The following is a 15997-nucleotide window of genomic DNA, read 5'->3' on the forward strand; positions in this document are numbered from 1 at the left end:
CCTGCAGAGCACGTGGTGTTATGATGCCTCTTCTACACAGAAAGGTACCAATTCAGCCTGTAGGGTCTCAAGTGCAGATTCCATCCCAGGTCTGGCTGATCTCAAATCCAAAGCTCTTTCAGTTCTACTTCATATCTTCTGTCTAGGAATAATTACTATTGCTCCGTTCACTTTCAAAAGTGTTCTGGTTTGGAGGATAAGTTACACAGTTGTCCTACTTTCTCCACATCTCCCCTCTGAGAAGCAGAGGCCTTTATATAAAAGATATGTTTACCTTGAAAACTTGGGCTGGAGAGCCATGTGTGGTCTGGCAAGCTACCCTGGTTTGGTAAATAGATTGGGCATCTTGACTTACTGACCTGCCTCTAAGAGCATTGGTGCCAGTCAAGAAGAAAATGCAGGCAGGAATACAGTATTATTTTTCTTTATTTTTGCAAATTTGACCAAAATTCATCGGCTATCCTCTGGCCTTTTCACAGGATGTTGTGAAACTTAGAGGCCTGTTTTGCAGTAGTTACAGTCATTGGCCCTTAAACTTGGATATTCTTTCTGCAATATTTCTTAGGTCAAGCCATATAGCCTCTGTAGAAATGGAGGGTGAAAAGTTTGGAAAACTTTTACTTAATTTTATTTCTGGGTTCAGAGTTCCAATTATTTAATAACAGTCCTCCTTTTTCATAGAAACTATTGATATTAAATAGAGAAGCAAACACAAGATAATCACAACACAAATCAGAGAGCAAACAAGAACAACAAAACAACAGAGGTGGAAACAAAATCTATGGTTTTTTGAAATCAGCAATGGAAAGTCATTCTTGGAAGGAAAGAATGTTCTTCAGAAAAGTCTCAGGGGAAGAAAGCTGAGAGTGCATGAATGGTGATGACATTGATGTCACATTTGTCTTCCAGATTTGCAAGTGCTGAATCCAGAGGAAGGCAAAGTCTTCCTCTCAAGCCTTGCCCTTCACCAGCACACACATCCAGCAGATTCCCAACCATCTCCAGCTTCTGACCTGCAAGCTGCATGACCTTGGACGAGTCACTCCCTATCTCTCCACCTCAGTGTTTCTGGGAGGTGATTTCAAAGGGCCCTTTCTGCTTGAAATCACCTTGACTCTTATCCATTTACCACCATCTTTTATTTGGCCAAGACACCATTGGATGTAATCATGATGGGCAATCTGTCTAGAGAAACAAGAGACTGAATAGGTCATTTCTGGTTACAATAGCCAAGCTTGGAATCCTTGATCTACATTTTCATATATCTTTCATTTTCATATTCTTTCAGCTCTTTGAGGGGTTGGATTGTGTTACTTTCACTGCAGTATCACCAGTGCCTAGCCCAACAACATATTCTTTAATTATTTGTTGAACAAACGAATAGATGAACAAATTTTTCTTGCCATACGGAAATATAAAATCTTGCTCTAAGTTGTAATATCTCATAATTACACATGTGAAACAATAACTATCATTTGAAATCCTCTTGTAAAATCAGGTGGGGAAATGAAAGATAGAAATATTCACGTTATATTCATTAATTATGGTGCTTTATCTCAATAAGTATTATTTTCAGAAAACAAAATCTGAATTGCTTATGTAGTATACAGTAGGCCCTTTGTCTCCATAGGGGATTGGTTTCAGGACCTTCTCAGATACCACAATCCATGGATGCTTAAGATCGATTGTTTTCCAGGTTAGTGGAATCTGTGGATGTGGTACTTGTGTATACATAGGGCCTACTGTTTGCGCTATGGCTCAGCCAACCTAACCAGTTGGCTTATTTGGCCTAATCCAGGCTCAGTTAAAATGCAGGGTCAGTGCTTAGAAGGAAATACATACAATAACCTCTCACCAACTCTGGGCACTTCTGCAAAAAACACTGGCTGAAAATCCTTAGTTGGCAAGAAGAATAAAGGTCTCACTGAAAGGGTGTTAGGGAAAAATTGAAAGTGCACTAAAGATAGATTTTTAAATGCAGTAAATAAAACTTCTAGGAAAAATCACTGTCAAAACAAGCCAGTTTTTTCAAGTTAGAAGTTGAATCTTGGAGGCAATTCTCTTTCTGTTGCTCAGGAAGAAATGCTGCAGGTTCATGATCTGCTGCTATGAATTTTCAGTTTTGTGGATCTGAAAAGCCAATCTGAAGACTAAATCCTGTATGATTCCAGACTCTACTTCATTTGACACTGTTTTTACTGTTTTGTAAACAGTACCTGCATTACTAAGTTGAATTGCACTCTTTCCCTTTTTTAATTTTTGCATGTCTTGGCAAAATGCATCTGTAATCACCTGGCCTTTTCACAAATTATTGTGGAATTTACAAACCTGTTCTGTGGTGTTATCGAGTCATCTTCCCTGAAACTGCGATCTTCCTTCTTCACAATGTTTCACAGGTCAGGCTACACAACCTGGGCAAAGAGAGAGAATGGTAAGACATAATTTCTACCATGTTTTCTTGCTTGAAAGGACTAAATAAATTCTTAAGAATTAAAAGTCATCAAAAAGGCTGGTGAGGATGTGGAGCAATAGAAACTCTCATTCATTGTTGGTGGAGATGCAAAATGGTATAGCCACTCTGGACAACAGTTTGGCTGTTTCTTATAAAACTAAACATATTCTTACCATAAGATCCAGCAATCATTGTCCTTGGTATTTACCCAAAGGAGTTGAAAACGTATATCAACACAAAAACCTGTACAAGGATGTTTATAACAGTTCTGCTTATCGTTGCCAAAACTTGGAAGCAACCAAGATGTCCTTCAGTAGGTGAATGAATAAGTAAACTGTACTACATCCAGACAACGGATTATTATTCAACACTAAAAAGAAATGAGTTTGCAAGCCATGAAAAGACATGGAGGAAACTTAAAGGCATATTACTAAGTGAAAGAAGCACATCTGAAAAGGGTATATATTGTATGACATTCTGGAAATGTGAAAACTATGGATATGACAAAAGGATCAGTGGTTGCAAGGGGTTGGGAGTGGGAAAGTTGGGGTGAATAGGCAAAGCAAGGGGGAATTTTAGGGCAGTGCAAATACTCTGTACAATGCCATCATGATAGATGTGTGTCATTTTACATATGTCCAAACCTGTAGAATGTGCAACACCAAGAGTGAACCCTGCAGTCAACTAGGGACTTGGGTGATTTGGATGTGTCAATGTAGGCTCATTGATTGTAATAAATGTACCACTCTGGTGGGGGATGTTGATAATGGGGGAGGCTGTGCATGTGTAGGGATGGGAGAGTGTGGAGGAAATCTCTGTACCTTCCTCTTAGTTCTACTGGGAAGCTAAACCTGCTTTTAAAAACATAAAGTCTTGAATAATTAAAAAAAGAGTCATGAGTTTGAACATTTTAACATACAACTATAAATCAATGCCAGCTCTAATCCATACAGAGATTATTAAAGCTTCTGACTGCAGATAACACCTGAATTAAGTAGACTGTTCCCTCCTCCCATCTCTTTTTTTCCACCTCCCCTGACAACTCCCCACCGTTACCAGGGGAGGCTGAGCAAACACCAAGGTCCTGTGGGGTTCAGGCAAGTAGTGAGAGCATCTCCTACCACAGTTGTAGAAGGGAGGTGTTTGGGGATGTGCAAGTTGAGATCTGTGAATAATTAAACTGGAGAAAAGGTCCAAATGGGTTGTCAAAACAAGGAGGGCCTGAGGCTTATGTGAGGAATCAGATAACAGTCAAGGTGTGGGAGAGACAGTGAGACTGAGAAAAAGAAACAGTAGGAGGAAAGATGTGTAGGAGGTTCTCTGGGTGAGTATCAGAGACAAGGTACAGTTGAGCATGGCTGGGCCTCTCTGTGTTCCCTATGATGAGTTGTTTGGTGGGCTGGAACCATTCCAAGGGCTTGGGATGAAACCGGCCCATCATTTTCCCTTGGCTTATCTGGGCCTCTTATTCTTTTCTCTCTTACTTCTCCTGAACCTTCCCTTCCTATACCATGTCCTCTCCCCACTGGACTTTCCATCTAATGTAGGTGTTCCAGCATAATATACCTTATGGCATTACTGTGCAAAGACCCAGTGTATTGTTTCATGTGCATAGGGTGTGGGTGGAAATGCGTTTAGGGGAAGAAGGGAAATTTATCTGTAGCTAAGGCTGATTTCTAAAGAAGCTCTTGTTCCTGGATCCCTAAGGCCCATGTTTAACATCCCCAAGTCCTGGAGTTTTCTAGACATCCCTGTTGGTGATGTTCTTCCCTAAATGTAGTGTGACGCAGAAGAAGGAACACTGCGCTCCGAGCGTGGTCTCCTGGTTTCAAGGGCAAGCTCTGCCCGTGACAGTGTACTTGAAATCTTGGCTGGGCACAGGTGCTGACATACTCCCAGGAACTGTAGGAGAAACAGAAGATGAAGTTTCCCTTTTCTTAAGTGGTACAGCTTATAGTAAAGGAGATGGCACTAACATGCTGTGCAGTGGGAAACAACACAGAAATGACGTAAAACCAGCAAGGTGACGTGAGCGTCACCTGGCCTATAGGTGTTGGGGAAGTCCAGAGGATCAGAGCAGGAGGATGCTAGAAGAGACATCTTCAGAGCCAGGACCTGGACTCTAGGGAAAATTTTCACATGAAAATGATAATGATGAAAAAACCATAATTGTAATGATAATAACATAACTAATACTTTGAGTGCCTATTGGATGGTAGGATATTGTACTAGGTGCTTTATTTTGATTGTTTTTTATATACTCATGTGAATCCACAAGGTAGAAGTTGCTAGCTACATTCTATGGAATCTCAGATTAGGATTCTGACCAATGTCACACAGCCAGTAATAGAACAGGGGACATGTCCCAAATCTGCCTGTTCCTGACACTGCCAGGTACTCTTTCCTTTATTCGACTATGTCTCACATCGGCAATGGAATCTGTGAGAGCTGATTTTGTGTGTTAACCTGACTGGGCTAGGAATGGCCAAGAAGCTGGGTGTGTCTTTGAGGGTTTCCAGAAAAGATTAGCATTGGAATCACTAGACTGAGAAAAGAAACTTTCCCTCACCCAATTAATTGAGGGCATGAATAGAAGAAAAAAAGCAGAGGAGGGGCAAATTTGGTCTGTGCTTGAGCTGAGACACCCATCTTCTCCTGCCTTCAGGCATCAATGCCCCTGGTTCTAGTGCTTATGGACTCAGACTGGGACTTACAGCATCAGCCCCTGATTCTCAGGTCTGCAGACTCAAACTGAATTACACCACCAGCTTTCCTGTTTCTCCGGCTTGGAGACAGCAGATTGTGGGACTTCTTGTTCTCCATAACTGTATGAGCCAATTCTTATAATAAATCTCCATATACGTATATAGATATATGTGTGTGCAGATATGTGTGTGTGTGTGTGTGTGTGTGTGTGTGAATAGATAGATAAATAGATACCCTGTTAGTTGTGTTTCTCTGGAGAATCCTTACTAACACAGAATCTTACTCCAGACTCTTTCATTGCATAAAGTAAAGGCAGATCAATCCTTCAATGGGGCCAGTAGTATGAATTTCAAGTTATTCAGCCATTGCTTCCTCAGTTCATTTATAAAAAGACAAGGCCACAAAGCATTCTGCAGTAGAATTCATAGCCAAAAAATTAATTAGAGACAAAGACTCTGGAATTTCTTTGAGTGTCTTATTTCTATCTCCTTTACTAGGCTCAAAATAACCTATTAAACCATGTGATAAAAATAAATCGACAGGCCAAGCACGGTGGCTCACACCTGTAATACCAGCACTTTAGGAGGCTGATGTGGGTGGATCACCTGAGGTCAGGAGTTTGAGACCACCCTGGCCAACATGGTGAAACCCCATCTCTAAAAAAATACAAAATTAGCTGGGCATGGTGGTGCATGCCTGTAATCCCAGCTACTTGGGAGGCTGAGGCAAGAGAATCGCTTGAACTCAGAAGGCGGAGGTTGCAGTGAACCGAGATCGCACCACTGCACTCCAGCCTGGGTGACAAAGCGAGACTCCATCTCAAAAAAACAAAATAAAATAAAAAAATAAATTGACAGAAATGGTTATTATTTCAATTTCACTGTGAAATATTTTATTATTCTTATTGACTCATTTGTTGAAGAATCTAAGATTACCAAGTGACACACTCATTAATTCAATTTATTTTTTGTAAATGAAAGCACTGCTCTGGCTGGACCACAAACCGCATGTGCTCAGTGGTTGGCTGCCTTCATTTCAGCTGCATAAGATTGGTTGGATCCAGAGAGATTGTCCTCACTGATGCTCTGAGCCAGCCTTGAGGAACCACCACATCTGACCTCATTCTGTTTGCTGTGACAAGAGAGGGCAGAGTTTTGTGATATTGCTTTTGAAGACAATGTCATCAAGATACAAAAGCCATGGGAATAGTGTGTATGGTGTGTGTATACAAGGGAAATGGGGAAATGGTGTGGGATGTGAACACAAGTGTGTGTTTGTAAGGGGTGGAAGGAGGGAGAGAGAAAATGAAAACCATCACGTAGGGAGTGCCAGCTCTCTGCTAGGCACTCAGCTTTGTGTCTTACCTAAATCACACACCATCCTCCCAATGTTGAAAGTATGTGATAACATCACCATATGATGGAGGGGGAAACTGACACTAAAAGCAGTGAAGAGACTTACACAAGGCTGCAGGTAATTCAGCCAACTCCCATGCTTGTCCATGCTCCTCTGCAGCTCACTGGGACATTTACTGTGAGCCTAATCCTGTATGAATGGTCAGGAGGGGGATAAGTCTGAGAGATGGGGGCATGAAAGAGTGTGAATTCATTTTCCTTCATGGAACATCCTCACAGAGGAAAAGGGCTCAAACCTCCTGTTTACCTGTTAAGAGTTAAAGCCAAGGCTTAGCTGAAGTACTTAATGCTGCAAGAACATGTCTTCACACTCTAAAGAGTCTAAAAACGTGAGTGTACAAAATGTGAGGTGATGACCTTAATAATTTTTAATCAGCATGCAATTATTTACAAGTTCAACTATTTACAAGTTCAGTTCAAAGCAATGTAGGACAATGCAGTGTGGAGATGACCCCATTCCCGCTGGAGAATGGATAGCCTGACTTTAAAGACAAAATCAAAAGAAAGTCCAGAGCAAGTCTAGATCTAAGGTTCCTCACACCATGATAATATATATCCACAGGGTAAACAAGAGGCATCAGGAAAAGATTAGTTTATGTGAAGTAAAAGTCTCTTCTAAGAAGATGAGAAAGTGTTAATATATAGTAAAAACATTTTAATCCCAAATAAAAATATATGGTTATATAGATGTAATAGACATGAATGTAATATACCTGAAATTTTAAGCTTCAGGTGAGAGGCACAAGATTGAGGAGAAAAGCCATGCATAGCCTTGAATTAAGAAGAAACAGTTGGTGTTCAGGCTTTCTCACTTGCTGGCCATAAATTCTTGGGCTTTTCCTATCTGTGCCATGCTTTCTCCCTCTATAATTAGGGAAAAACTGCTCCAATCCTGCTTCTCTCCTGTAGGATTGTAGTGAAGCTCAAATTAGAGACTGGTCACCTGTGTGTTTTATAAATTCTAAGAATCACGATCATGGTCACCATCAGGAAAATCTGTCAATGAAGGCTGTAGAAAATAATTTTACGCTTGAAATAGAAGCACGATGTCACGGGTAACTTTACTAGGGATTCCTTCCTCTGCCTGTTTTCAGGGTCCTCTCAATCCCAGGCAAGGAGTACTTTGCATTTTCGCTTTCACAAGCAATGTGTCTATAAGCATTTTGTGCACATGTTCTGTTACACACACGGACTTGCATTTCTTTAATGTACATGCCAGCGATTAAATTGCTGATGGATAGTGTTTACACATCTCTGGGCTTGATAAAGTGAAAGAGCTACTATCCCAGAGGTGTGGGTTCTTTCAGATGACTAGTGAGATGGCTACCCTACTCTAATGAGGGTCCCATTGTGGCCACATGCCAATCAATTTCCCTGTAAGTCTTCCCTAGATGAGTTCTATTATTCCATTTTGCATTGCTATAAAGGAATACCTGAGACTGGGCAATCTGTAAGGAAAAGAGATTTATTTGACTTGTGGTTCTGCAGCCTGTACAGGGAGCATGGCACTGGCATCTTGCTTGGCTCTTAGTGAGGACTTCGGGAAGCTTTTACTCACAGCAGAAGGCAACGGGAGCTGGTGTGTCACATGGAGACAGAGAGGGAGCAAGAGAGGGGGAGAAGTTACCACTCTTGAAGCAACCAGCTTTCACCTGAACTAATAGAGTGAGAATGCGTTACCTCAGCACAAGTCATTCATGAGGGAGCCGCCCCCATGACTCAAATGTTTCCCATTAAGCCCTGCCTGCAACATTGCAGATACATTTCAACAAGGGATTTGAAGAGGACAAATATAAAAACTGTTAGGAGTTTAAAGTTCCCAGGAACAAGAGAAATTTGGACCAGAAAGGAAGGCCTTAGATAAAAGATCAGGTAGAAAATTGGGCCAGGTAGGGAGGCCTTAGACAAAAAAGCAACATCTAGCTCTTTTTAGCCCTGCTTCTCCTAGATCTGGACTCCACAAGTTATGTGCATCTGGGCAAGGTGAGACAATAGCTTCACATGGGGCTGGGAAGGTCCTGATACTGGGTCCTTGTCACTGCTTGCATCACAGCTACCTCTTCACCATGAGTATGGGTGTCTCCCTGTCAGACTGAGAATGTCCAATAGGGGAAGTTCAGGGGATCATGCTTGTTTGGACCCACATTTTATCTTCATATATCTCATTTTTCTGCTTCTTTCTCTGCATACTTTAGCTGGGATAGTGTTTGCTTATTCCAATTCTGCTGACTACGTATTTCCAGGCTTTATAATCCACAGTGGGAGAAAGCCTCCCTTAGTAAAGGCCTCCCTTCTCACTCTGCTTACACACTAATTGGTTGAAGACTTTTCTCTTTCCTCTAAGGCCTGACAGAATGCTGCAAGACAGCCAATACTTCTCTGAATTTTTAAACCACCTCCTCTAAGTCTACTGCTTTACAGGTACATGATCATCATTCCAAAGTAAGTATAAGGTTGATACCACTAAAGGTTTTCAGATGCAAAACCGGGCACCTCTAACATCCCAGCCTGACCTAGAGGAGTCTTAGCATTCTTTTTCACCCACTCTAACCATTGAGCCAACTCTCCATTAGAGGGCCTTTTCTTTTAAAAATTCCCACTTCTTGAGGCCTAATTTTATATCAGTTAGGATTCTTTAGGAGGATGACTGTCCTCTCATCCTCCTCCCAGCAGACACACACCACCTTTTAATTTTAATTAGTTTGTAATATCTCCTTTACTACTCTGTGATTGAGCTCATAGATAATTTAACCCATCCATCATATAATTAAAAATATATCATGCCCTAAAAGTAGTATAGTGGAGAAATGAAAGGACAGTAATATATAATAGAAAGACGTGCATGTATTAATATATAAATGTTGTCTCATAATTGCACTAGAACACATGATTGAGTCATCAAGAGTTTCGACTGTGAGATAGAATCACCATGTGGTAATAAAAGCAGACTAATAGAAACATATTTTCTTGGCAACTCAAGCTTCATAAGTGGCATTATCATTGGTAACCTGATCATCTGAAAAGGTGAACAAATCTTGAAAGTGTTTCAAACAAAAGCACAATCTTCCCCTGATTTAAACAGTGGAAAATTCAGTGTGTATCAAAAGGGATACAAAGTAAAAACACTTAATGTATGTGCAAAATGGAGTTAGGCTCTAGGCTCAGATAATAAAGGAGTTTTTCACCTACCTGGAAGTCTAATGGGTCATTAAAAAATTGTGCAATATGAGGGAAGATTCTTTGTAATGCAGACTTATCCCACAAATTCCATCTCGCTTCTTGGTCTCCATATATTAAATGTCAGTAACATCCCCCACCCCCAATTATTTTGACAACAAAAGTATGTGTTTGATTTTTCAAGATGGTACTTATTAAAAAACATCTTCAGGTCAATTCAAACTGACTTAAATTTTGAAGGGGATTTTACATTTTTCTCTCAGTCCTTCCCTGTGCAATAGTTTCAACCTTTACAAGATGGCTGCAACAGTTCTGGGACTCTGATCAAAACCTTGTCCAGAGAGAGAGAAACAGCATCTCTTCTGGTGGCTTTCTAGAGTGAAGAAATTTCTTTTGCAGAAACATCAGGAAGTATGTTTCAGGTCTCACTGGATCAAGATGTAGCCTTACAATTTCTGAGTCCATCAGGGGAATTACTTGAACCAATCACACCCACTCTGGGAACTGAGTAAGGTCAGCTATCTTAAAGCACAGAAGTGGATGGGGAATGGGTGGATATCAAAATAAAAGTCAGGAATGAAGGGAGAAGGAGATTCCAGATAGGCAAGCAAAAATATCCCCTGTATATTTGCAAAGCTGAAGGTTGACTTTATTCAGGGAGATTCCAGGTTTGTTTGTACCATGGAGGACCACCTGGGCCAGAAGTTACACATACATGGTATGTGATGGATTCCTAAAGCGTAGTTAGAGTAGCTGGGAATGGGAGCTAGGGGCCCGGGAAAGGAGGAGGCGGGTGCCGCAAGCGCAAGTCCCGACGAGCTGCCTCATAAAAGGATCAAAGCTTTGTGAGATCCCTCTGCCAAAGCTCTTGCAGCCTGTGACAGGAACCCAGTGAAAGATGGGTGGGAGTGGAAATTGAAAGAGACCCCTTCATAATTTCCTGAGGAAACTCACCTGTTTGGCAATGACTTTGCTCTGCAAGTTTTCCTTTTGCATCCACATGTCTTCATTAACTCTGAACTCACAGGAAAGTGTGATGGTTGTGAAATGGAAAAGCTACTCTTGGCAGACGCAGGTACCTCAAATTCAAAAGGAGAGGTTATGCAGTACTATCTGGCACCCACATGACCATTTTCCTCTCCTTTTCCTCCTGCTCTCAGGTGCATCTCTGGTCCTATCCATCTCATCTATACAGTACCTCACAACCAATCTTATCATTATTCCTGCTGTTGCCTTCACATCTCTCCACACTCCCACTGCAGCATCTGTCTTCAGCCTGTTTCCTCCAATCCCTTCTGCTTGTTATGACACAGACATAAACATCTTATCTTAAAACAAAGCTCACACCCCTCACTTCCTCAAACACTTTCCAGTGAGTATCCATTGACTACAGAATGAAATACTAATCCTAGCCCTTAATGTCTATAGTCCTGCCAAACCCAGTAGAGCTCTACATGCTGGTCAGCAGTTTGACAAACCTTTTGTATTGTGTTTCTGCTCTATACTGGGCATTGGGCAAGGTGTAAGAACTGCTAAACATGATTTTTCACACTCTTCTTTGTAAAAGTTATATTTCAAGTCAGGTCATTTCTAGCCATCAAAGCCTGTGGAGTATGGTCTCCCCTTAGAGTGCTTGGGTTGCATTTCTCTCATGACTCATGCATTGTGGTCCTTTTTAGTCTTGACTAATATCCCAACACCTTAGACTATGACTCAGTCATAGCTGAGTCCCCTCATCTCCCTCTCATGATCCTAGTATCTGGCTCAATTTGTGGTAAGAAGTGTGTATATGCACTGAGTATCTCCTGTAGTTCTGGAACTATGGTAAAATATCATACTCTGGGACTATCACCAAGTGTTCCACTCCTCTGGACTCTACCCTGTTGAAAGCAGAAGAAATTGATTGTCCTCATTGCATACACATTCTATTTTTAATCAGTTATTTTTCAATGTTGAAGAGTGTTGCTGATTTTTTTAATGTTGAACTTTTTTTCACAGAAAATTAAGCTCTTACACTCTTGTACTATTCTTTTGTTGTTCATTGTAGATTTGAAAACCATAATGCTACCAACCTCAGATATTTTGGCGTGTGTCCTTCAAGCTTTTGCTCCTAATAGTTCAGAACTGCATACAGAATAAACATTTGTAATCTTGCCTTATTTGGCGTTATGCCATAATTTTCCTGGCCACAATATTTTGTGGCCACAGTATTTTACTCCCTGTCCTTTTTGCTGCCATAAGCAACAGTGTGATGAACATCTTCACATACAAAAGCCTTTCTTACTTTTATGACTACTTCTCAACGATATAATTCCAGAATTGAAATTTGCTGGGGCAAAAGAGTATAAGAACATTAAGACTCTAAATTCAGAACTTGGCTTTTCTTTTCAATACATGTTTGAAGGAATGAGTAAAGGTGGCTGCTTAGCATAGATCTAAAAGAGAGCCTCCCAGTTTCACCATCCTAGCCTAATTTGTTTCATGACTATGTTAATGTTTGTCTTTACCTTCTTCTCAATTTCAGAAAAAGACACAAAACACTGAAACTGGATTCAGTGCCAGCCCCCACTCCTCTTTTACTTATAAAGTGTGCTTTCTTGATGTGAGAGGGTGAGAACTTTAAATCTCTCTTTGGAAAAACATGCAATGAAACTGGAGATGGTGGGACCCCACACCCAGGGCCATCTTTGAATGGATGTGTTTTTCCAGTGCTTTGGGGGCATTGAAAGCTTCAGCAAAATAAAATCAAGACCAACTTCACAGAGTTCATGTTCTTAGCCAAAAGAACCTCACTTTCTCTATTACTGGGGTAGATATATGCAGATGCAAAACACAGACAGCCTGTCCTTACTTTGAGTTTTGAAACAGTGATTTCTGTTGAAGGTCATTTGGCTTAGAGAGAAAAAAAGACTGATATTTGGCAGGGAGGAAGGTGAGGCTGGTGCATCACTGCCAAGGACCTTCCATATGGGTGGCCTGGGAGAGCTTCCACCTGGCCACAGAACAGGTCATGGCCCAGGTTAATGAGGAAGAAAGAATGAGGAGGAGAACAGTTTGATTAAAATGAAAAGAAGAAATGTATTCTCTCAATCCTCTGCATTTTAAAATTAGAGTCCTCCTAAACAAATTTTTAAAATGATTAAAAATCAACTGGATTTTTGAGGTAATGTATCCTATTCTGTTTACACAGTCCTCCTGAGAAGAGTGTCTTCATTCTAAAAGTGGGATGTTTGAGGGGGGAGTCATCAGCTACACCTCAGATTCGTGAAAGGATCTAGGGCCAATTGGTGACCTCTCCAGGTCTAAGTGTCTTCAGTTTACCTACTTCAGGAGGAGTTAGAGTAGGAAAGAGAATCCTCCTTCAGCCCACACACCACCAAGCAGAAGACTGTCTCGGAAGTGAAAGTGTGGAAGGTGGGATGATGCCTTTGTCTGATCTGAAGGCTCAAGGAAGTGCATGCGTCTGTCCCCTGGGTCTGACCTCGTCAGACTCTGATGTGTATTTATCCAACTACTTTCAACATCTCCAGAACCCATCTTTTCTCCTAGAATGGCTTTTCCTTTTGCCTTCTTCATATGAGTTGATCACTTTAAGAAGCACCTCTTGACGCAACCCAGAAACCTGGGTACTGCCAACCTCCTCCTCATGCACAGCTTGTCAGCTCTCTCTTCCTAACACCTTTGCCTCCTCTTCTTCTGGTCACCTAGCTCAGTCTGCTTCATTTCTTTACAAAAATCCCCTACTTGGTTTCTCTTCTCCAGTTTCTTCCCAGCTTCATTTCCCCATGCTCCATCCCGCCCTCATTCTCCCATCTATTGCCCCAACTAGGGCCAGAGTGATCTCCCTAAAATCTCATCAGATTACTGCTGTGCTTAAAATATTTCAGGAGCTTCTCAGCATTCTCAGGAAGGAGGTCAACGCTCATAGCACAGTAAGCAGAGTCCTTTGGTTTCTCAAGTTCTTTACATTCCACCTCAAATTCTATGCTCTGCACATAATGTATTCTCCAAATATATCAGGTGCTTTCAAACCTCTGTCTTTTGAAATAGGCACTGCTTCTGCCTGGAATGCCCTTCTTTCATGCTTTTTCACTTAACTAAGTCCACCGCCAGACTTACCCAACATGCCAGTTGTGTGCTGATCCCAAAACTCCCTGTACATATCCCTGTGATAGCATTTATCAACCTGTGTTGTCATGACTAGTCTCTAGGCCTAGCTTCCTCACTGTACTGTGTTCCTTGAGGCTATTAGTCATTTCCTTCACATCTGTATCTCCTAAGAACCTATGGTTATAGGCATGTAATACAAATGTAGTATATCAAATGAAGGAATTGACTGTTAAGATAAACAGTGGAGAAGAATTTTGTGCTCTCAGCTCTTTGGCTGAATGATATTACTTGGGCTGCAAGTTCTGTTTATAGGAATACACTTCCCTAAGTTTTGTAGGTATTTAAAAGCTGGGAATAGTGTGTGTGTGTGTGCACATGTGACTGTGTAATTGTGCATCTTAGGTTGTGTTGATTATGGACATTATCAGGGGAATTTTTTTTTTTTTTGGAGACAGAATCTCACTCTGTCACCTAAGCTGGAGTGCAGTGGCTCCATCTCAGCTCGCTGCAACCTCTGCCTTCTGGGTTCCAACGATTCTTGTGCCTCAAACTCTAGAGTAGCTGGGATTACACCACCACACCCAGCTAATTTTTGTATTTTTAGTAGAGACAAGGTTTTGCCATGTTGGCTAGGCTGGTCTTGAACTCCTGACCTCAAGTGATCCCCCTGCCTCGGCCTCCCAAAGTGCTGGGATTACAGGTGTGAGCCACCATGTGCGGTCCAGGATATTCTTATAATAGAGCGTTTAGGAAACAGAGACGAATGTTTCATGATGAACACGTTTTCTATGAAAGGATAGCTCTTCCTATGGAACATGCTCAATTCAAATACAGTAGCTTCAGAATGAAGAATTTTGAGTTGTAACCTGAGCCCATTGATGAATGTGATCTGATGCACACTAAGTAGTATCAATTTGCAGTTTCATTTGAATAGGTCCTACCTGTTACATGAATTAATATTTAGACTCCCAGGATGACTTCTCCAATATTAGATATTTAACAATTCAATTAATCACTCCCAAGTGAAGCATTCTAATTGATTGTTTTTCAGTCTCTGTTGGTGATAAAGATAATGGATGTTTTTGTGGAGTAAATTGGCGTCTTTGCTTAATATTTGTTTCTCGATGTCATTGCCCAGCAAATAAATGGTGAAGTGTAGTTCTATAAATAGCATGATGGTTGGCAGATGAAAAAAAAATAGCTGTGTTTCCTGACACTGCAAATTTCACACTGTTTTAATTACCACAAACGTTCACTCCTATCTCAGAGAGCTGAGCAGGAAACTAGGAAGAACCAAGCATCCGTAGATGCTGCTGCAATGGGAAGCCTGGGATGTAGAGACCTCAGTGTGGCCAGGGTCTCTATGACATCCTCTGTTGGAGGTAAATGTGGGCCCCTGGAGAATCAGCCAGGTGTAATGGAAATTCGTCCTGCTATGTGCTATTGCTGCTATGCAAAAAGGAGAGACACCTGACTCCCTAAAAGAAACTTGAAGACGCAGAAAAATAAAAGCACAGAGGGTTGGGATTTTGCTCTTCAGGCAAACACCTACACACTTTCACAGTTCACAATTTAGACAGTGTTAGAAAAATAACAAGGGTAAGGTAACCTTAAGATATTTTCTGAATGCTAGACTTTCTGTCTCCCTCCACAGAGTATTAAGTCCTTTTCTCTGAAGTGGTCAAAATCTCTTTCCGCTTCCTCGACAATCACCTGTTTTCCTTCCCACTTCTCCCACTCTGCCCCATTGCCTGGAGCCATCTCTCTCCTCTTTCCTGAACCCTGGAATCTTTCTGGCTCTCCTGAAATCCCACTTCCACATCAGAATGGTGTGAAAATGTATTTGCTCCAGCACTAAAGATCCTATTCTTGGGCCTCTGGCAGATTTTAAATTTGGGGCGAGAAATCTCTGGCTCAAGTCCAGAAATCTTTACAATACTTTGAAGTAATGGAAAAAGCATGCACGGGCACAGGCACAGATAATTTACTCCAACCTCCTATACACTTTTTCCCTTGTGAGGATAAATCTCATTGGATTTAGACCCAATCATACTGGAAATGACAGTAGCTTATGATTATTCAGAGAGGTTTCAAAGCTTAAGTAGGTGGTAGAGAAGGGAAAATCTTCACTTTCCAT

At 41.2% G+C, this 15997-nt stretch overlaps 1 long non-coding RNA gene across 1 annotated transcript; it reads right to left on the reverse strand.

The window, feature by feature from the left end:
- Positions 1–1098: 1098 nt before the first annotated feature.
- LOC105373444 (uncharacterized) lies at positions 1099–10785 on the reverse strand. The gene is made up of 3 exons (XR_939753.3): positions 10705–10785; positions 2329–2411; positions 1099–1185 (listed from the first exon to the last, which is right to left on the reverse strand). It is a non-coding gene; the product is annotated as an uncharacterized LOC105373444 (long non-coding RNA).
- Between the last annotated feature and the right edge of the window lie 5212 nt (positions 10786–15997).

The sequence above is a fragment of the Homo sapiens genome, chromosome 2, assembly GCF_000001405.40.
Source record: "Homo sapiens chromosome 2, GRCh38.p14 Primary Assembly".
NCBI lineage: Eukaryota > Metazoa > Chordata > Mammalia > Primates > Hominidae > Homo > Homo sapiens.